The 22,479-nt window shown below is 49.8% G+C and overlaps 1 protein-coding gene across 2 annotated transcripts in view, besides 1 other annotated feature; it reads left to right on the forward strand.

Annotated features, from left to right (window-relative positions):
• ZNF664-RFLNA (ZNF664-RFLNA readthrough) overlaps positions 1-22,479 on the forward strand; it is a 342,810-nt gene that overhangs the window by 291,030 nt on the left and 29,301 nt on the right. The window lies entirely within an intron of this gene.
• Positions 9,446-9,725: an enhancer, noted in NCBI's record as "active region_7280". NCBI's record gives its function as "activates an Ori minimal core promoter by ATAC-STARR-seq in GM12878 lymphoblastoid cells {active_cell/tissue: GM12878}" and the evidence as "EXISTENCE:reporter gene assay evidence [ECO:0000049][PMID:35858748]".

The following is a 22,479-nucleotide window of genomic DNA, read 5'->3' on the forward strand; positions in this document are numbered from 1 at the left end:
CCCTGGAGATTCTAACTCAGTTGGCCTTGGGAGGGGCCCGGGGGACTGTGTTTCTCATCAGCTCCTTGGGTGATTCTTGACATCGGGCAAGTTTGGGAACTGCCCAGTGTCATTGCCAGGAGCATGCCAGGCCCCTCCACCTGGAAGTCGTCTGGTCCCCTAAGCTTCGGATTTCCAAGCCAAGCTCATGCTCTTGTTTCTTGAAGCCTTGCATATCTTCCTCTGCCTGTGCCTCCCCATTCGCCCAGTTCCCTGGCTCCAGATCTCAGCCCCTGCTTCTCCCCACCACACCACATGGGGTCAGTTGCCAACATGTATCCACAATCTTACCCAAGTACATCTCCCATCCACTTCCTCCTTTTTTTTTCAGACAGAGTCTCACTGTGTTGCCCAGCCTGGAGTGCAGTGGTGAAATCTCGGCTCACTGCAACCTCCACCTCTCGGGTTCAAGCAATTCTCTGTCTTAGCCTCCCGAGTAGCTGGGATTTCAGGTGCCCCCCACCATGCCCAGCTGATTTTTGTATTTTCAGTAGAGACGGGGTTTCACCATCTTGGCCAGGCTGGTCTTGAACTCCTGACCTCAGGTGATCCACCTGCCTCGGCCTCCCAAGCTGCTGGGATTACAGGCGTGATCCCGCCGTGCCCGGCCTTCCTCCTTTTTATTCTTGCTCTGTCGTCTTGGGTCAGGCCTTTATCAGTTATTGCTAGGACTAGTGCAGTAGCCTCTAACCAACTCTCTTCACTTCAGTACCACCCCCTCCAGTCCATTCTCTCTACTGTTGCCTCCCTTAACCCCCTGCATGCTGCACCCTGGGTGCAGGCCCAGCCCCAGCTCAAAGGGCACAAGGCCAGAGTGTGGCCCGACAGCCCAGGGAACAGCAGGTCCTCCACTGGAGACTAGTGTATGACCCAATGCCCAGCAAGAGCAGGGTCTGGAAACGAAGGTGTGCTCCGCTCTGGGCTCTGAGTGGGGGCTTTCCTCCAAAGGTGGGACAGGGGCTTGGATTCTGTGAAAGGGGCCACACTCACTTCCTCAGAGCAGCCCAGAGCAGACATCCCCACCCTGACTCTGCAGTGGTGACCCCTGTGTTCCCAGCTCACTTGAAAACAAAATAATTTTTATTTTAAGAAATACAGGACTGGTGTACTTGCATGGGGAGAGAGTGTGGATGCTCCTCAAGCTAGCGAGGAGGGCTCGGTGGCTCCTGAGAGGCTGGTACCTGCTGGTGGCTGTTTGGTCACCTGTGTGCTGCCCTGGGGTTTCCTGATGTCATAAACATGGGAGGGTGCTTTCTCATCCAGGCCTCCTGGGCTGGGTTCTGGATGATTCCGTAGGTGCTTTAGTCACAGTGTTGGGACACCAGACGCCGAAGACAGTCTCCTTGTAAACATGCCCGAGGGTCTGAATGACATGGAGCATCAGACAGTCTTGGGAGACCCTCGGCCCCAGGGGACAGACTCAGAGCAAGCACCTCTTCACAGGTGACAAGCCGCACCATTTATGGCACCCTGGCCAAGCATCAGACACTGTTCTGGGGCTTACACATATTGGAAATCAATTTGTCCCCACAGTGGCCCAAGGAGGCAGGCATGGAAAATGACACCCATTTTAGAGATAAGGAAACCGAGGACAGAACGGTTAGGTAACTTGCCCAACAACACACAGAGAGTAAGTCATAGATATGAGGTTCAAAACCAGGCAGTCTAGGAGCCCAGGCATGTAACCACTGCACTGTGTGGCCTGTCTACCAGTAATACTGGAACTTTCCCACTGAAGAAGACACAGAGAACTGTACCCTCCTACACAGACAAACAAACCTGCAAACACACACACTAATAAAATATTCCTACCTTAGGCAACCTACATCGCAGGGGCCCAGAGAGTTCGTTGCTGCTGTTTGCTTTCTCATTTCATTTTAAAATAGTTTAAAACTCACAGGAAGTCACAAAAATAGCAGAGTTCCCTTACCCCAGCTCCCGCCAGTGACAGCACCTTTCCTGCCCACTGCCCATTGTCCAAATCAGGAAATTGACATGGCTCAATATTATTAACTGAAATACAGGTCTTATTTGGATTTCACCAAAGAGCCAAAAGAAGTGAAAGTGTGATTGAATAGCTCAGGCTGTTGGTTGGAACTCACCAAATGTTAGGAGCCAGAAGGATTTTAAGACGCACCGCCTCTGTGTCCATCCTCTTACAGAACATCGTGGTGAGGGTGGAGTGTTGGGAACACAGGTGAGACACGGTGCCTCTGAGGATCCTGGATTCCACTGCCGGGTGTGGAGGGACCATGCGGCCCTGAGGGTCTCAGGACATTGGGAACTTGCTCAGGATTTCAGTCCAGAACCTCCTGCTTCTCCGTCTGTCCATAGCATCCCAAAAGCCATGGAGTAAGAGTGGGGACCAGGAGGCGGGAAGTGGGGGTGGTCATTGGCTTTGCTGCAGGTGTGGGTCCAGCCGCTCGGGGCTTCCCCTGCTCCAGGTGGGAGGCTGCTGTGAACACACACAACAGCAGCGAGAAGGAGCTCCCCGAGAGAACAGTTGTGTCTTGGCGGTGTCCTCGAAAATAAATCTCGAAAGTGCTTTTCAAGAATGGAGGTGTCATTTGCACACAGATCCATGAAATGCGCAGATTTTATGTGTACAACTTATGGGGATTTGAGAAAAGTATACGCCTGGGTAAATAACACCCTAATCGAGATTTAGAACCGTCCATCGTTGCCTGCCTCTTCTAAATCATCCCTCCAGGTGTAACCACTATGCGGACCTTTGTAGAATTTCCCATAAATAGAATCACAGCGGGTTCCCTTTTGTGTCTGGTTCCCTTCATCATCGTCGGACACGTGAGGCGCCCCACGCTGTTGGGTATATCAACACTCAGTTCATCATTACTGTTCACTGCACTTCTTAGTACAATTACACCACGGTATGTTTATCCACTCATCTGTTGATGGATATTTCGGCTGTTTCCAGGTTCAAGCTGTTGCAAAGAAAGCTTCTATGAGCATTCATGCACAGATCTTTGTGTGGACATAGGTGTTCATTTCTCTCGAGTAAATTCGTCTAATGGATTCTCCTGGGGACAAGGCAAAGGTAAAAGCTAACCCTAATTCTAACACTGACCCTAATCCTAACCCCAACCCTAACCCTGAGCCTAACCATACCACTAGCCCTACCCTTAACCCTACCCCTAACACTAACCTTAACCCCAACCCTAATCCTAACCCCTAACCCTAATCCTAACCCCTAACCCTAACCCCAACCCCAACCCTAACCCTAACCCCAACTCTAACCCTAGCAAAAGTACGTTTAACTTTGATTAATAAAAAAGAGACTCCAGCCTTTTACTAACTAGGCTATGACAGAAACTCATAATTTAAAATAGCCTAGAAAGCATTTGTTTTTTGTCTTTAGGATGCAGGTTCTGATATTTTGGGGGTAGATTCATTACCCTATGTGACCAGTTATATTGGTTCTCAATCAATTGAGACCCACCTACCAGTTAAAGGTGAGGAGAAGATTTTCATGTGGGGAAAAGCTAACCTGGAATTTAAAATGTGTATTTATGGCCCAGAGATGGGAGAGCTAGAGAGTACCTAAAAGGTCACTGTGATGGATTAAGAGTCTCCTTGACTCAAATTCAAGTCTACCCTAAACCTCAGACTGTGACCATGTTTGGAAATAGAGTGTGCAGGTGTGATCAGTTAAGGTGAGGTTGTACTGGAGTAGGATGGGCCCTAAATCCAATTCTATTCTCATGGAGTTCCTGGGATTGTTGCTGTAGCCCAGCCCCTCTGGGCACCAGGGTCCCAGGAATGGTACAGGTGAAGCGCAGCCTATATAGCTTATCCCAGAGAAACAGAAATAATTTGTTCTAAATAGAATCTGACAAGCAAGAGCTCAGCTTTCCTTAAATCGTTACCCATCATATTGCTTCCTAAGACACTGGATTGAGTTTCCGAAGCCAAGTGGAGGCCCTGACAGTTGGGAAGTCAAGCTTCTGGGGATGGGACAGGAGCCTCCTATGACCCCAGACGAGAGAAGAGTTGAAACCTGGCCTTTCCTAATGTGTTGGGCAAGACCAAGCTTTATTTTACCTGTTTCAGCAAAAACTCTCATGAGAAAGTCCTGAAGGTCCTCCCAAGCCCCCATCTTAACTCAGGGTCCACATTTTCACCTTCATGGCAGGATGTTTCTCCTCTAAAGGAACTTCTAATACTTTTCCCCTTGTAAACATCTTCAGAGGGCCGCCCTAATTTGTGTATTATGTTGGTGCATGTCTTTGTTGATATTTCTTCCAATGGTGTGTCTGTGGCTCTGTCCTGCGGTGGAGGGTTAGTTCAGATCTCTTTGAGTCATCCAGTGATAATATCAATAGCAACAATGGCAAACACTTATGGAGAGCTTTCCTTGGTAATGGCTCCTGTATTAGTCCGTTCTCACATTGCTATAAAGACACTACCTGAGACTGGGTAGTGGTAATTTACAAAGCAAAGAGATTTGATTGACTCACAGTTCTGCATGGCTGTGGAGGCCTCAGGATACTTACAATCATGGCGGGAGGTGAAGGGGAAGCAGGCACCTTCTTCACAAGGTGGCAGGAGAGAGGGAGGGGGAACTGCCAAACACTTTTAAACCATCAGATCTCATGAGAACTCACTCAGTATCACAAGAACAGTATGGAGGAAACTGTCCTCATGATCCAATCACATTCTACCAGATCCCTCCCTTGACACATGGGGATTACAATTTTAGATGAGATTTGGGTGGGGACACAGAGCCAAACCATATCAGCTCCCGTCATCCCCACTAATACCCTCCTCTCCCAAACCACCCCAGTCAATCTAACTAACAATAGTGGGCTTGCTATGGAACAGCCCCTGCAGATGTCCATGTTCTAATCCCAGACCCTGAGTCTATGTTACCTTCCATGGCAAAGGGGACACTGCGGATGGGAGTAAGCCAAGGATCCTCAGATGGGAAGATTCTCCTGGAGTATCTGGGGTGGCCCGATGTCATCACAAACATCCTTAGAAGTGACAGTGGGAGACAGGAGGGTCTGAGTCAGAGAGAGCCTGGGGAATGCCATGCTGCTGGCTTTGAAGACAGAGGAAGGGGCCAAGAGCCAAGGAACACAGGCAGCCTCTGGAAGCTGGAAAAGTCAAGGAATGGATGTTCCCCAAAAGCCTCCACCAGGAACACAGCCCCGCGGCGCCTGGATTTTAGGCCCATTTCCCACTTCTGACCTCCCGAATGATGAGAGAATAAATGTGTGGCTTAGCGGCTTTAAGCCACTACGTTTATGGGAATTTGGAACAGTAGCCACAGGAAGCTCATCCCTTATGCAAACCCAACTTGCAGATGAGTCCCTCGGTCCCTTTTCCTGACAGCTGCCCCTAACCCTCATCCACACAGATCCTAGACCCACCGCTCCTCCCATGTGTCAGGAATGTAACCGAGCGTTTCGATTCCTTCTCTTTTCATCTTCATACCTGTCTTAGGTATTTTAGTTATTGTTCCCATTGACAGATAAAGGAATTTGGCCCAGGAACTTTGACTCTCTCCAAAGAGGAAGCCACCTTTCTAGTCTCAGGTAGACTCCCTGAGTCATGGCCACTGGGAATCTTTGGTCTGGGGGCCTGAGATCTGAAATCAAGGTGAGATCCCCAGACCTTGGAATGCATCTTTCTCCTCCAGCCCCATGCCCAGAACGTGCTGAATTTCTCCTTCCAGATGCAGTGTGGCCCCAGCTAACCATGTTCCTCCCTTGGTTTCTCCATCTCATGTGCGCATGTCTGAATTCTAGCACCTACACCAGGCTATACATCTTTCTGTACACACTCAGGCTTTACCACCAGAGTGTGAGGCTTTGGAGGGGGAAACATGCTTTGTCATTCACTCCACATTCAACACGTATTCACTGAGCACTTTCTGTGTGCCAAGTACTATTCTAGGTGCTGGGGATAGAGTAGTGGGCAGGACAGACAAAGATCCCTGCCCTGGAGTTCAAGACCAGCCTGGCCAACGTGGTGAAACCCCATCTCTACTAAAAATACAAAAATCAGCCAGACGTGGTGGTGGGCACCTGTCATTCCTGCTACTCTGGAGGCTGAGGCAGGAGAATCGCTTGAACCTGGGAGGCGGAGGTTGCAGTGAGCCAAGATCATGCCAGTGCACTCCAGCCTGGGCGACAAGAGCGAAACTCTGGGAAAAAAAAAACAAAACAAAACCCTGCCCTTGGGGAGTTTATGTGCTGACAGGGTAAACAGACAGTCAGTAGCAAACACAGTAAATAAGTCAATTATAGAATCTGCTAGAAGGTAGAAGTTGCATGGGATCAAACAGAGAAGAACAAGGTGGGCAGGCAGGCCAAGTGAGGGTGGGGGAGATGAGTTGAAATGCAGATAGAGTGGGCCATAGTCCTTCCTGAGATGTGCAGAGACTTGAGAGAAGTGAGGAAACAAGACATGCAGAGATCTGGGGGAAAGTGTCCCGGCAGGGAGAAGATGAGTGTAAAGCCTGGGGCAGGAGCGAGCTTGGTGTATCCCAGGACTAGCAGGAGGGCCTGGGTGGCTAGGGCAGGTTGGGCGGAGGAGAGAGCACTGCCTGGGTCAGAGTGAAGGACGAGGGTGGAGCTGGGCCTTGCAGGGCCTTAGAGGGGCGTTGCAATGACTTTGATGTCAACTCCGAGTGAAACAGTCCCATCCCAGCACCAGTGTAAGCCCAGGCCCCTCACCACCTGGCAAATATTTAAGTAGATAAAGAAGTGCCCCAGCAAATAGAGCATTCACAACATGCAAAATTGTTAGCCTGAAAGGAGGGGAAGGCTACGAGAGACGGAGGTCTCTTTCTTTTCCTGCTTTTCCTGGTCCTTTTCACAGGACTTGCTAAGGTTGTTGGGACAAATCACCATGACAAGGAGGCCTGAAGCAACAGAAGTTCATTGTCTCACAGTTCTGGAAGCCAGAGGCTGAAATTGAGGGGTCCACAGGGCCACACTCCCTCCGAAGTTCTCTACGGAATAATCTGTCCCGGGCCTCTAGCCCAGCTTCCGGTGGTTGCTGGCAATCTCTGCCGTTGCTTGGCTGGTAGCTGCGCCACTCCAATCTCTGCCTCTGTCTTCATGTGGTGTCCCTCGTGTGTCTGTATTCTCTCCTCTTCATCTTCTTCTTCTTCTTCCTTTTTTTTTTGACAGGATCTTGCTGTTTTGCCCAGGCTGGTGTGCAATGGTAGGATCTCTGCTCACTGCAACCTCTGCATCCCTGGACTCAAACGATCCTCCTGCCTCAGCCTCCCAAGTAGCTGGGACTATAGGCATGTACCACCACACCTGGCTAATTTTTGTATTTTTTGTAGAGACAGGGTTGCACCACGTTGCCCAGGCTGGTCTCAAACTCCTGAACTCAAGTGATCCACCTGCCTTGGGGTCCCAAAGTGCTGGGATTACACTCTCCTCTTCTTGTAAGGACAGTCCTTGATCAGGGCCCACCTAACCCAGTACGACCTCCTCTTCACTTCATCACATCTGCAAAAATCCTCTTTCCAAGTTAAGTCACATTCGTGGGTACCTGAAGCTAGGACTTGAGTATATCTTTAGGGGACACCATTTAATCCACTCCAGAGCCCTTATTTGCCTGTCATTTGTCCCTGTGTGTGTTCCTGTGTATGTGTGCATGTGTGTGTGTGTATTAACTCACGGGAGTTCACCTCACTGTCACGTCCTTCAGCACGTAATAGGGCTGTGTTTCTCAAACACCCCAGGCACAAAAGCTCACCCTCAAATGATGTATGTGCAGGCTGCCAGCAGCATCACAAAACCGTGTATCTGAGTCTTCTCCCAGAATGAGCCTGGAACGAGACTCCCCGAGTCTGAGAGCCACGGCTCAGGGCTTTTTTTTGCTCATTTCCTTCCTGGGAGACACCAAGTCAACATGCTGGGGTGCCCTTGTCCTCGGGCAGGGCTGAGAGAATATCGTTCAAGAGCTCCAAATGTCTCACTCTCCCCACCAGCTCCACAAAAGGGGGATTCAGAGCTCCGGTGGGAAGCAGACAGGTGGAGCATGTAAGGGGCTGTCTGCTGAGAAGAATGTGGCAATTCATCCTGAGGATCCGTGAGCTGGCTGGGGCAGTGGAAATTGGGCCCGATCTGCAGAGTGGCCCAGAGGGGCAGGGAAGCTGGCATGGGTTACCCAGAGCCTCCAGGACATCATCCCCCTTGGGAGGAGGCAGACTAGCCTGGACCAGGGCTCACTGTAGAATAAAGTGAATGGTGTCCCAGGACTCAGCATCAGGGGCCTTTGCAGCCTGGTGTCCTACCTGCCCAGCGCTCAGCTGATGGGGAGGCTGGTAAGGCTGCAAATGGCGTTGGAGGGGGCCCACCTCACCCATTCCTGACGGATAGTGGAGATGAAAGGGTTAGCCCTTCTCAATTAAATAAAGAACCTCTTTGATCATTATTTTGAAGGATTCAGACACTGTTTTTCACCATGACTGCAATGGACTGAATGTGTTCTCCCAAAATTCGTATGCTGAAACTTCAGTCACCAATGTGATGGCATTAGGAGGTGGGGCCTTTGAGAATTAGGTCATGGGGGTAGAGCCCTTGTGAATGGGATTAGTGCCCTTACAAGGAGTTACAGGAGACAGCCTTCTCCCTCTACCTCTTTCTCTCTCTCTTTCTTTCTTCCCACCCTCCACTACCTCTCTTTCTCTCCCTCTTTGCCCTCCCACCATGTAGTGCCTTCTACCATGTTATGACACAGCAAGAAGGCTCTCACCAGATGCTGGCACCTTGATATTGGACTTCCTAGCCTCCAGAACCATAAGACAATAAATTCCCCTTCATTATAAATCACCCAGTCTGGGCCGGGCGCAGTGACTCATGCCTGTAATCCCAGCACTTTGGGAGGCCGAGGCGGGTGGATCACGAGGTCAGGAGATCGAGACCATCCTGGCTAACATGGTGAAACCCCGTCTCCACTAAAAATACAAAAAATTCTCCGGGCCTGGTGGTGGACGCCTGTAGTCCTAGCTACTCTGGAGGCTGAGGCAGGAGAATGGCGTGAGCCCGGGAGGCGGAGCTTGCAGCGAGCCGAGATCGTGCCACTGAACTCTAGCCTGGCGACAGAGCGAGACTCCGTCTCAAAAAATAAAATAAAATTTAAAAAAATCACCCAGTCTGTGGTATTCTATATTGCAACACAAAACAGACGAAGACAGGAAGACAAAAAATTAAATCGGAACAAATCATTTTAATGTTCAGAATATTTGATTATTAATTTCTTGGGCAAAATCTTGCCCCAAAGTGATCTCAGGGAAGCTTCATCCTGTCCTGCAAGAAGCTTTCCCTAACACCTTTGTATCAGTTTTCCATTGCCACAATAATGCCACGTAATGGTCGTAAGACCTCAGTTCATTGCACACACTTATGGAATCAGTGAGGGGCCAGTTTAGTGGCTTGACTGTCTGGCTGGGCTCACTCATGTGTCTGGGGGCCAGCTGACTGTTGACTGATCTAGGCTGACCTCAGCAGGAGTGACAAGGACTAGCCTGGGCAAGTTCCCATGGTGATGACAGAGGCCCACAAGAGCAACAGGAAACCTGGAAGGCCCCTTGAGGCCTAGCTGGGAACTGCTACACCACCATATCTACCTCAGTTCTATTGGCCAAAGCAAGGCACATGGGTGGGCCCAGAGTCCGGATAAGAAAGTGCTGCAAGGTTCTAAAGCAGAGATCTTGGGTCTGGGACAGGGACAAAGATTCAGAGCCATTGTCATCACCTAACACAACTGCCTCTCCTCAAAGACCCCTGAGCTCCAGTGTGGCTCAGTGCTTCAGGACCCAGTGAATTCTATATTTTCTGAGACAGGTCACAACTTCTGGTCCACAAGCTCAGACATGCCGCTCTCCAAAATAAATTCATTTTTCTCTAACTCAATTTCTGTGCGAAGCCCCCAATCCACCTCTTGGCAGAACAGAACCTCAGCCAATATAGGGTCATTTTGTTAAAATCAGAATGTTCTGGGGGCAGTTTATGGTATCTCCTTCCATTCCTTAGTGGGGTTGGGTTTGAGATCTACAAGGTCTTTGGGGATATTGAGCAGGGAAGCCCTCCGACATTTGCTGACATTTCCAAATTTCCTGTGTGGACTGGGTCGCTGGTCCCACAGTTTAAGGGGCCCCTTTCTTTCCTAGTCTTCACTTCAAGTCCTTGTACCTCAGGACTGCCAGGCCCTTCTGGGGGAGGGGAGGGCGGGTACTCCCCAGGGACCCTCAGATACTCTCACGCCAAACTCTGGGGCCACAGGGCACCCATGGGAAAGAATACGGACCTACTGCCCCACTCCTCAGAGTGTTTCTGATCCTGTGCAAGCTGGTATGAGGAAACTTCTAGAAAACAAGGCTCTGGTCTTCTTGGTTCTCAAGTCCCGGGACCACCTCATCTCAGCATGGTGTTCCGAGCCTGAGATGGAGTACAGGAGGTGGGGAGCAGCCCCTCTCTGATGTCCTGGCTAATTGCCTCTGTGATCCCCTTCTCTGAGGAATTTCCATTCTCTCTTGGCAAGAGTAGAGAGAGGGCTGTATTGGCCCTGGGAATATCCAATCTCCCATTTAGGCCCAAATCCCAACTTTTGATGCTCAAGAGACAAAAATTAATATCTTTTGTTCTTCTCTGTATTTCTGCTGGAACAACCCTTCCCTGAAGTTGTACTAGCAGAAAACCAGGGAAAGGAGTTCATATTTCAAACTATGGCCGCATCATATTTCTATGAATGGTAGTACGGGACTGGGCCTTATCCATCACCCAGGGAGGCATCGTAAGTGGTGGGAAAACCTGGATCTGGATGACCTCAATTCCAGTCCTGGCTCAGCCACTTGCAAGCTTAACGTCTCTGAGCTTGCATCTACCCAAGCAGGCTTGCAGCAGATCTGAAAAATGCATGTGTTAGGCAGAATAATGGCCCTCTCCAAAAGGCATCCCCACCTTCATCCCAGGAACTTGCAAATATGTTGGGTTACGTGGCAGAGGGGAATTAAAGTTGCTCATCAATGACCCTGAGATGGAGATGTTGTCCTAGATTATCTGGGTGGGCTCAGTGTCATCACAATGTCCTTAAAAGTGAGAGAGAGAGAGAGGCAGAAGTAGAGAGAGCCAAAGGAAGATGTGGCCATGGAGGGCAGATCTAGAGAGGGTAGCATGAGAAGGACTCAGCCGTGAGCCTGGGGCTGGTGGGTGGGCACCAGAGCTGGAAAGTTAAGGAGATGATTCCCCCCAGAGCCTCCAGAAGGAACCAGCCCTGCTGACACCTTGGTCTTAGCCCTGTGAGACCCGTGTCAGAGCTACAGTGCTGGAAGATGACAAATGTGTGTGTTTTTAAAGTCACTAAGTTTGGGCCGGGTGCAGTGGCTTACTCTTGTAATCCCAGTACTTTGGAGGCCGAGACGGGCGGGTCACCTGAGATCAGGAGTTCGAGACCAGCCTGGCCAACATGGTGAAACCCCGTCTCCACTAAAAATACAAAAATTAACCAGGAGCGGTATTGCACACCTGTAATCCCAGCTACTTGGGAGGCTGAGGCAGGAGAATCGCTGGAACCCGGGAGGCAGAGGTTGCAGTGAGCTGGGATCATGCCATTGCACTCCAACCTGCATGACAGAGCAAGCCTGTCTCAAAAAAATAAAATAGAATAAAGTCACTAAGTTTGTGATAGTTTGTCACAGCCACAAGAGGAACCCACACAGTGGCTGTGAAAGTCCTTGTGAATGGAAAGCGCTGGCAGAGGGGAGACATCACTCAGTCCAGCCACGCACCACCAGTGCCAGAGGTGGAGCCCAAGCTCCAGCAGGAGAGACACCTGGGTTCTAATGTCACCTTCGCTGCTGGTGAGCACAGGAACCTCAGGCCTGTCACCCCACCTCACTCAGCCTCTCTCCTCCTCTATAGAAATCATCCCTGCCCTCGGGCTGATGGCAAGGTTCAATGAGATGATGCGTGTGATGTGGTTAGCGTGGACCTTGTCCAGGGTGGGCCTGAAAACATTTAGTGGTAAAGACAAAGAAGAAAGGGCAGCCAAAGAGGAGTTACCTTGTTCCGAGTATGAGTGACCTCCAGTTATACAGAGATTGGCAGGTGCTAGGGAGGGATGGATGGATGGATGGATGGATGGGTGGATGGATGGACAAACAGATGGATGGATAGATAGATAGATGGGCGGACAAACACATAGATAGATAGATAGATAGATAGATAGATAGATAGATAGATAGATTAGATAGATACATACATACATACATAGATGGTAGATAGATCAAGATAGATAGATCAAGACAGATGATAGATCAAGAGATGATAGATCAAGATAGGCAGATGATAGATCAAGATAAATGATAGATACATAGATAGATCAAGATACATGATAGATAAATAGCTAGCTAGATGGGATAGATACTTCAAGGTACTTGGATTAGAAATAGTTTCTTAGACATGTAGAATACAAGAATATCCGTTGCAGTTTTATTCATAACCCCAAACTGGAAATAAGCCAAATGACCACAAGCTAAAGAATGGACAAAGCATATGATGGTATATTCATACAAAAGAATATCATTCAGCAAGTAAAAGAACAAACTACCAACACACTCAGCAACACGGGTGGATTTCAAGAGTATTATGTTGGCCAAAAAAGAAGCTGGGCACAAAGAGCCCACGTTGTAAGGTGCATCTACAGTTGATCCAGTTATTCTACATCTTTGTTTAGGTGAAAAAGATGAAGCTTAGTTCGTCTTTAGGCACAAATCATCAGTGATGATGAAAGTCAACATAATGGATGCTCTGGGGGTCGCCACCTGGGAGGGGGAGCGAGGGAGCCCTTGGGGCGTGGGCGGTGTCCTGTGCTTTTACCTGGGTGGTGGTCACGTAGGGGCATATTTGTAAAAACGTACCAAGCTGCACCTTCACAGTGTGTGCCCTTTACCTGTGAAAATTGCACCCCAATAAGAATGAAGAAGATAACAAGAAATGGTAGATTCTACACCCGGAGCCCACAGAGGGACTTAGTTAAGTGTTTGAGGAAGGAAGATAAAGGGGGTTGCCAGGTGTGGGTTCTGGTGTTACTGAGCCTCCCAGTGTCCTTTCCAGATCCTGGGAGCTGGCGAGCATCTCCAGGATCCTCAGGTTCGTCCCAGGAGGATAAGCAGCCTGTGAGTCGGTGCTGTCCCTGGCTAACGGCTTTCCTGGGCTGCCTCCACAACCCAGGACCTGCCACACACAAGCAAGGTAGGGAGGACAGCCTCTCCTGTACCCGAGCCCAGCAGGGAAGCCACACCCTCCCCGTCGGGCTTCTCCTGCTGTTGGCCCTGGGGACTTACCCAGCAGGGAAAGCCACCTCCTGCCCAAGCTGCCCCTACAGTCCCGATCTCCGCCCCCTTCCTCCTCTTTCTCCTCCCCTTCTCCCCTTCTCCCCTCTCTCCTCCTCCTCTTCCTCCTCCTCTTCTTCCTCCACTTTTCCTTCCCTCATCCTCCTCTCCTTCCTCTTCCTCCTCCTTCTCCCCCTCTCCTTCCTTCTCCTCCTCCTCTTCCTCTTTCTCCTCCCCCTCTCCCCTCTCTCCTTTTCCTCTTCCTCCTCCTCCTCTTCCTCCTCTTCCTCCTCTTTTCCTTCCCTCTTCCTCCTCTTCTGCCTCCTCCTCTCCACCCCCCTCCTCCTCCTCTTCTTCACTGGGGAGGAAGAGACCATACAAGTGTCCCCGCCAACCTGCGGTCACGTGGCCTCCGTCAGCACAGGGCCCTGGCACATCTGTTTCCTCCCACCCTCCAGCTAGGACTGCTGAGCAGGGCAGTTTTCAGAGCACGGAGCTGGAGGGAGGGGCCTGAGCCAGGCAAGTGTGGCCTGTAAGGCCCTTGGAGACCCCGGAGCAGCCGTGGGCCACACTGTGGCTTGCCCCTAGACTCAGGGCCCCAGGGGCTTTGTGCAAACAATGCTGAGGGAGAGTGGCCAATTAGGGGTACCCTCCTGGCTCCCCAAACTCCTGCTGAGCCTCTCTCTCGCTGGTGCTGGAGCTCTCGGGGTCCATGCTAATATGGGTAGAAAAGAACCTTCTGGAAGGCATGTTCAGCATCCCCTTACCACCCAACCTGGAGCCAGGCATGAAGAATGATGGTGGTCAGGGAGGCAGCTGCTGTTGAGCTGACTTTGAACTTGAACTATTTTGAAATCCAGCTCATAAATTTCCAGCCCAGCCCGGGGCCTCCCCTTCGGGTCTGGGTGTGGAATCTGTCGAGGGGCCCTGGGTCTGCAGCACAATGCCGCATTTACAGAGCTGCGCTGCCAGTGCCTGAGTGTGTGTGTGAGTGTGTGTGTACCTGGGGACAGAGTGTTTGTGCACGGTGCCAAAGGGAGGGCCCCGCACATCTGGAAAGTGTCAGGTTTAATGCCCAAAGCCACGGGCCCAGGTCAGCTAAAAGTACATGTTTGCTTCCAGCCGCAGCTGTGCAAACTCCCGCTGCTCGGGCTGTGCTGGGCTCAGTCAAGTTCCCTCAAAGACAGTGGCCCCTTTGTCAGACTCCATTCCAATCCCCCGTTTCAAAGTCACTGGCCTGCCACGGGGCCCCCTGCCACAAACAGCTGCGGGGCAGCATCTGTCTGAGGCTGCATTCATTCCACCAGGAGAAGGAAAATACAGCAATTTAGGGTCTCGAATCTACGGCTCATCCAACAGACTGCACCCCTCCCATCCCTGTGAAACCTCTCTGTCTCAGTGGTCACACACCCGCCACCTTGGTCCTCATCAGGGCACAGCACAGCCGATGGCAGATGCAGCCCTTGCCCGCGGGGAGCTGGTTGTGCTCCATTTGCTAAATTGTGGTTGTCGCTCGGAAAATCGTCTCCCTGCAGATGTGGTTTGGTTTATGTTTGGAGGCTGAGAGGAGCACAAACCTGTGTGTGTGTGCATGTGTGTGTGTGTGCATGCGTGTGTGCATGTGTGTGCGCGTGTGCACGCGTGTGTGAGCGCGTGTGTAAATGCACTCATGTGCATTGGCGTGCACACACGTTCGTGCATAAGAGATGGGGGTAGATTAGGAACAGTGGGAGAAAACCAGTATCAGCCTGGGCTCGCCCCTCAAGCAGAGCTGTAGCTGAAGGCTGGTGAGAGGCCGTGTGTGGGAATCGGGCCCAGGAGCAGGGCTGGGGCTGGGAAGTGAAGGAGGGGGCGCCCATGAACAGATCCTTAGGGGCTGGTGCAGCATCCAGCGGGAGCTGCCCAGGAGTCTCCTGAAAGCAGCCGCAGAAGTGTTCCCCCGCAGATGAAAAGGGAAGCATTGTCTATCAGCCGCTGCCCCCCATTGGTCACAGGGCGGGGAGGGGGGCTCTGTATATGTCAGCCCTGCCCTCACACTCCTGGGTTTCCCAGGCAGGGGGTCCAAGCAGGTTCTTGCAGGTACAACACACACCGCAGCATCCGCAAAACCCTGGGGGAGGAAGCAAGAGGTGCGGGGTGTGCACTAAGGTGAGAGCCATCCCATGGCACCTGCGGGGAGCTGCTCTCTGCAGAAACGGGGTAAAACATGGGTTGAGAGGAGCCCAACGGGGCACGGGAAGGGGCCCAGGCAGCCAGCGTGGGTCCCGGGCAGCCAGCATGAGTCCAGCCAGCGTGGGTCCTGGGACAGCCAGCGTGGGTCTCGGCTGAGCACAGGAAGGGGCCCCGGGCAGCCAGTGTGAGTCCTGTCAGCGTGGATCCCAGGGCAGCCAGTGTGGGTCCCGGGCAGCCGGCATGAGTCCTGAGGCAGCCAGCGTGGGTCCCGGGCAGCCGGCGTGGGTCCCCAGCCTGAGCCTGCCTGCTCTGCCTTTTGCTGGAATGTTGCTCTCCCCACAGCTGCCGGCCTGTGGGAGCCAAGAGCTTCTCCCTCACCAGCCAAAGAAGAGGCCAGGAGCTTCTCCCTCACCAGCCAATGGGTTCTGGGGCATTCCAGTCTTGGACCTTCTCCCCAAGGAGGACTGACAAGGGCTGGGGAAGCTCACCAGGGCACCGCCCCTCAGTGGTTTCCCAGCAGCCCTGGAAGGAAGCGCGCATTGTTTGCACAGCTGGTTATTTTTCAGGTCGAGAAAACGTGATGTGATTGGCAGTCAGTGTCCTGGGGGTCTGTCTGCTCTGGGGGCTGGGTGGGTAGCACCCTAACCAGCTCTGGTCTCCCTCCACTGCCCAAGTTACAATCGCCATCGATGCCCCTCTAGTGGATGCACGTATGATGATGACGGCGATGACAATCACCACAGCTAACACTGCGACAGCACTCACTTTGTGCCAACCACTGCTTGACATGCTTCCCACATACGAACTCACTCAGTTTTTACAACAACCCTATTTGGTAGATGCTGTTATGAGCCCCATTTTACAGACAAGGAAACTGAGGCAAGGGAGGCTAAGTCACTTTTCCAAGTAATAAATAGTATGTTAGATGGCGATCTGTAGGGAGAGGCCAGTGGCTATTTTGAACAACAATACAACCTACCAGCTATATGTTATGACATACATGAACAGTGGACTCCACCTCCTACCTCTTTAGAAAATTGGGATATTTTCCCAATACTACAGTGTCTGGAGTTATCAAACTAACAGCAGTTCAATTGTCTCATCTATCAGCATTCTGACAACTCTAGGGTATAATCTGGATATTTATGGGGAGACCCTGACCTACCGGGCACTTGCAGGGGTGGGTGACCCCAAAAATATCCAAATTATATTCCAGAGTTGTCAGAATGCTGATAGATGAGATGAGTGAGCTGTTGCTGCTTTGATAACTCCAGACACTATAGTATTGGGAAAATACCCCAATTTTCTAAAGAGGTAGGAGGTGGATTCTGCTCTTCAAGTACATAGTAATATGTAGCTGGGGGGTTGTATTATGGTTCCAAATAGCCACTGCCCTTCCCTGGGGCTGCATCCCACACTTCTGTATGTCCTTGCTCCGTTGATAGCAGGCTTCACCATGTGACTTGTTTTGGCCAATAGGTATGAACAAAAGAAACATGCTTCACTTCTGGGCAGAATCCCCAAGAGCTACCATGAGGTCCTCCGCTTCTCTTTTCTCCCTACCACAAGACTGACATGACTCCAAGAGGGACTGCTCCTTTAGCCTGGGTCCCTAGAATGAAGATTGATATGCAGAAAAACTTCAGCCAGCCTGCAATGGACTTGTGGGGTTAGCAATAAGCTTTTGTTGTTATAAGCCACTGAGAGCCAGGGGCTGTATGTTACTGTGGCAGAACTTAGCTGAAGCTGACTAACACTGTTACTAACAGAATCATTTTCAAATGTAGAAAATAAAAGTGGTCTCTGAAAGCTGCTATGAGTTCACATAGAACAAGTCACACCTGACAAATGCCTTTTATATATTTGATAGGGTTACACGAGTGATACAGAGAGGAATTTTGTAGTATAAGGATATCTGAAGTTCAGCTTGCATTATCAAAAACTTTGCCTCTGTTTCCCATAAATAAGATAGAGAAATGTGAGCTGGGTAAGAGCATGATTAAATGGTTTCATAACCATTACAGTGAGGAACCAAGAAGGGCTGATTTCATGTGGCTGATGCCAACCTGCTGAAAGGTCTCTAATGGTATGTCACAGGGCTCTACCCTTGTTTCACTCAGTTCAGTGTTTTCATTAATGATTTTTCACAAGGCCTTCAAAACCTAGGCTGATCACATTAAAAAATGATACAAAGCTGGGGAGAACAGTCTGGTAAACCATGAAATATTTTTGGCAGAGCAGAACAAGATGAATTGTAACAGAGATCAAACAACGTCTTAAAAAACCAGAAGGGGCCAGGTGCAGCGGCTTATCTCTATAATTCCGGCACTTTGGGAGGCCGAGGCGGGTGGATCACGAGATTGAGACCATCCTGGTCAACACGGTGAAACTCCATCTCTACTAAAATGCAAAAAATTAGCCGGGCATGGTGGCGTGCACCTGTAATCCCAGCTACTCAGGAAGCTGAAGCAGGGGAATCGCTTGAACTCGGGAGGCAGAAGTTGCAGTGAGCTGAGATCGAGCCACCGCACTCCAGCCTGGCGACAGGGCAAGACTCTGTCAAAAACAAACAAACAAACAAATAAAAACCCACAAGGCCTGGAAATGGAAGTCATAGATTCATAGCAGCATGTATGAAAATGATAAGCTCGGTGTGAGTTATTATTATTAAATGCCAATATTCATTGAGCACTCCCAGTGTATCAGACAGCGTGCCAAGGACTGACTTGACACAATTCCCTCATTGTATTCTTCCCCAGGATCCTGAGTAGTTCATGCTGTGCTTTAAATAAGAGGTACATTCATTGAATCACCTATAGGAAAAAAAAAATCAAAGCATGTAACTTTTTCCATAAAGAAACTCCCAGGAGTTAGAGACCACTCTTTCTGGAATGCAATGGCATTTTCTATTATTTCTTCTTAAATGCTTTTAGATTAAGGATTCTGTTTAACTCAACAAATACTTACTGAACTCCTACTATGTGTCCAACATTCTTCCAGGTACTGGGAACGGGTTGGTGAATAACACAGGTAAAATCTCATCCACCGTGGAGTTGCCTGCCAAGGTAGAAGACACAAAAAAGAAATGAACCCTCTAATTTTTGGTGGTGATTCATTCTGTGAAGACCATCAACAGGGTGAGAAAATACAGAGTGACTGGGGAAGGGGGAGGGGTAATTATATGGGAAGATCAGGGAAGGCTTCCCTGAGGAGGTGACTTTGGGCCGAGCCCTAACAGGTGACAAGAATCCAGCCACTGGTTCCAAGAAAGACATTCCCTCATATTCTACTTCCCATTTGATTAGAAGCCTGCACAGGGAAAGAAACAGAAAAAAAACAAACCCAGCACCCTACTTCTTGAGCCCAGGAGAGGGAAACAATGATAAGACACTCCTAGGTGTCCAGAATTCTCTCAAGCAGGGGCTCCCCTGGGGCCCGGACATCAGCAGATACCAGGAACCTCATTGTGCACTGAGTCCAGCACAAGTACAGAAAATAAATCTGAAACGGGTATTTTCCTCAACTTGGATTATTTTTGCAGTGATCGCGTTTCCTTGTATGTTAAGAAACCTTGGGAAATTATTTGCTTAACGGGAGCGCTCAGTATTTCTCAAAGTCTTTTTTTTTTTCAATCTTCTTTCCCTTTGCTCTTGCTTTCCTTCTCTTTGTTTGAGTTTTGAGCAAAAACTTCCTGCCCGCTGTGATATTTTCCCCATGAATGTCACCAAACTAAGTAGGCTAGAAAAACAGTTGTAGGAAATATGAGGAATGGCCAGGAATCAGGGTAAACAGCAGCCTGGGAACCTTCCAGAAGAAAGTGCAGTCAGCGACTCTGACCTCGACTCCTGTCAGCAAATTACTCCAAAATCAAGTTGGCCATTTGAGTTCCATGGACGGGTTCCCCTTGCAAGACACTGCTTCTTTAAGTCCCTTGGGCAGGAAGTGGCGATTCCAGAGGTCCCCCTTGGCATGTCCTTGAGGGAACAAAGAAAGGGACACACTTCGGACCCCGTCTGTGTGTGAAGTTGGTGATGGGGCATGACCATGATCCAAAATTCACCCGGCAATATTAAAGCTGGCCTGGGTCTGAACTCATGAAAGATAATGATTTGAATTTCAAAGGATTAAAAGAAGCTCATGGAAATGATGATTAAGCCCTTGAACATTTAAAAAAAAAAAAGATTAATTCTGAACCAAAGAGCTGCAAAAAAAAGTCAAATGTGAAGGGAAGAATGTCAATTGTGCCCTTAGAAAGTCTTGCTGGGAAAAAATACGGAAAGTAAAAGAAAAAAAATCATTGTCATTTTTCTGCTCTAAGAATTACAGCAGAGTTCCCAAGCCTTGTTAAATTAAGATAAAATTAGCTTATTGCATTTTTATCATTTTAGATTTATTTTTCAAGATGAAGTTCCAACGAAACCTCTTTTTTCTCTCTCCTTTTAACAATATGTGAGCTATGACTCCATGTCAAGTAGCTTGGCTTCAGGTGCCCTTTTTCTGGTACCTATAACCCTTGGAAAAAATAAAGCCCTCCTGTTCTTCCATTAATGGATTTGTCTACCAGACTGATGTCACTGAGAGAATTCTTTCATGTCCCTGTCCTGTTGCCAGCAGTTGGCATCTAGACTCCACTGAGCTGAGGTCCCCTTCTTCTAGAATCTTCTGCATGAAGAAAGAGCCCCTTCTTCTCACCTTCTTTATCTCTTCTATATTGGTCAGGATAAGTGACAGCAGCTACTGTAACAAACAACCCCTGCATCTCAGTGGCTTAAGGCTCAGCTGTCAGCCCGAGGGTTCTGCTCCACACAGTCATTCACGCACCCAGGCTCCCTCCATCTTGTGGCTCCACCCTCCTTGATACCCTCGGAGTCCTCTTTATTCAGCCAGTGGATGAAGAAGGAATGCGAGGGTGGTTTCTATGGGTCTGGTAGTAGTGCACATCCATTCCACTCACATTGTAGTGTTCAGAATTCAATCACATGGCCGCACCTAACCACACAGAAGCCTGGGGAATTTAGTACAGTGTGGTTTCCTGGAGGAAGAGAAGAACTTGAAAACCAGTGAACATTAGTGATCTTGCCACATTTGCTACTTTTTCTTTCTCTCTTTGGTATCACCTCCCTGTTCTAGTTCATCTCTACATTGATATACCTGGCTAAGGCAGTTCAGGCTGCTGGAACAAATGACAATAGACTGAGTGGCTTAAACAACAAACATGTATTTCTCATATTTCTGGGGGTGGGGATGCCCAAGATCAAGGTGCTGGCAGAGCTAGTGCTTGGTGAGGACTTGCTTCTTGGCTTGTAGGCAGCCTCCTTCTCACTGTATCCACATATGATGCAAAGTAGAGAGTGACAGGAAGCTCTCATGTCTCATAAGGGCACTAATCCCATTCATGGGGGCTCCACCCTCATGACCTAATCAGCTTCCAAAGGCCCTACCTCCTAAGACCATCATATTAGTCATTGAGATTTCAACATATAAATTTGGGGAAGGGGGACAACACAGACATTTCATAAAAATAAAAAAATAAAAAACACACAGGCACTCATGTTTTTCCCTACATAGCAATAATCCTTTTTCTTACTAAACCTCCTAGATTCTGTTGACCAAGTTGGTCTTCCTTGGTTCAGAACAGCCTGAGTGTCAGAAATGTCAAGTTACATGAGCATCCATGTCCATCCATCCATCCTTCCATCCATCCATCCATCTATCCGTCCATTCATCCTTCAGTCCACCCATTCATCCATCCATCCATCCATCCATCCATCCATCCATCCATCCATCCATCCGTCCATCCATCTACTTATCCAGACAATATAGTTAATGATCCCCCATGTGCAAAAGCATGGTGTGATGTGCCGTCCAGAAAGAAAAAAAGCATAAGGCGTGCTTTCTGCCTTTGAGGAGTTGATAATCCAATTGGGGACATAAGAACTAAGCACACACAAAGCTAGCAAAGACACCAGGCCCAGGCATGTGGAGACGAGCAGGAACCACTGAGAAGCAGAGGCCTTGCGGGCTGCTCCCCATGCGCCTGCACCCCCCTTTGTCCAGACACACAAGGATGTGTCTGGGAGTTCTTCCCTGGTGCCCTCCATGAACTCTCTTCCTCAGTTCCCTCTGGTTCTCCACGGTTGGTCTCCTCGCCCTCCCATACCCATTTCTCTTGCCTTTCTGTGCTTCTTTTTCCCCACCCATCTCCCCAAGCCTCTCTTCACCTTCTTCCTGGGACACAGATGCCTCCAGAGTGTGCTAGCCTCAGAGCCTTTGCAGGAACAGAGGAAGCCTCAGGGCCTTTGCACCTCTGTTTCTCTGCCAGGACACCCTTTCTCAGGCTCTTTGCAGAGCCGGCCCCTTTTCCCCACCAGGCTCTCGGTTCAAAAGCCACTTCTGAAGGATATTTGTGGCCCGGCCTCTGCCGTGGAAAGCCGCTCCACGGGTCTTTCTCTGCCCCATCACCCATTTTATTTTTATAGTATTTATAACTCTCTGAAATTACCTCATTTAATTATTTTCTTCCCCCAATCCCCACCCCAGACTGGATGTCCCCCAAGAATGAGGACCAAGTATGACTAGTCCCTGGCTCTGTCCCCCATTGACCGGCACACAGTAGGTGCTTACTCATCACTGCTGATTGAAGGGATGACAGACAGCCCCCTTCCCCTCCCCTCCTTTAGCATCTCAGGACTGCACCAGGAGCATCACTGAGCCCTGGCCACTCCAGGACCCTGCCCTCCGGCTGGGCCTGGTCCCCAGACTCTGCCCTTTCTGGAGCTCCGGGCAGCGTGCCAGGAGCCTGGAGCCTTGCATTAATTCCTGCTCAATGCCCTTTGTCTTCACTTTCAGCTGAAAAACCACACAACCAGAATATTTGCCTGGACTTGCGTCTTCCTTGAGGAATGAATGGAAATGGTGTGCGTTTGCCACGCTCTCTGGCGTACTCACCC

This window comes from Homo sapiens, chromosome 12 (genome assembly GCF_000001405.40).
Source record: "Homo sapiens chromosome 12, GRCh38.p14 Primary Assembly".
Taxonomy (NCBI): domain Eukaryota; kingdom Metazoa; phylum Chordata; class Mammalia; order Primates; family Hominidae; genus Homo; species Homo sapiens.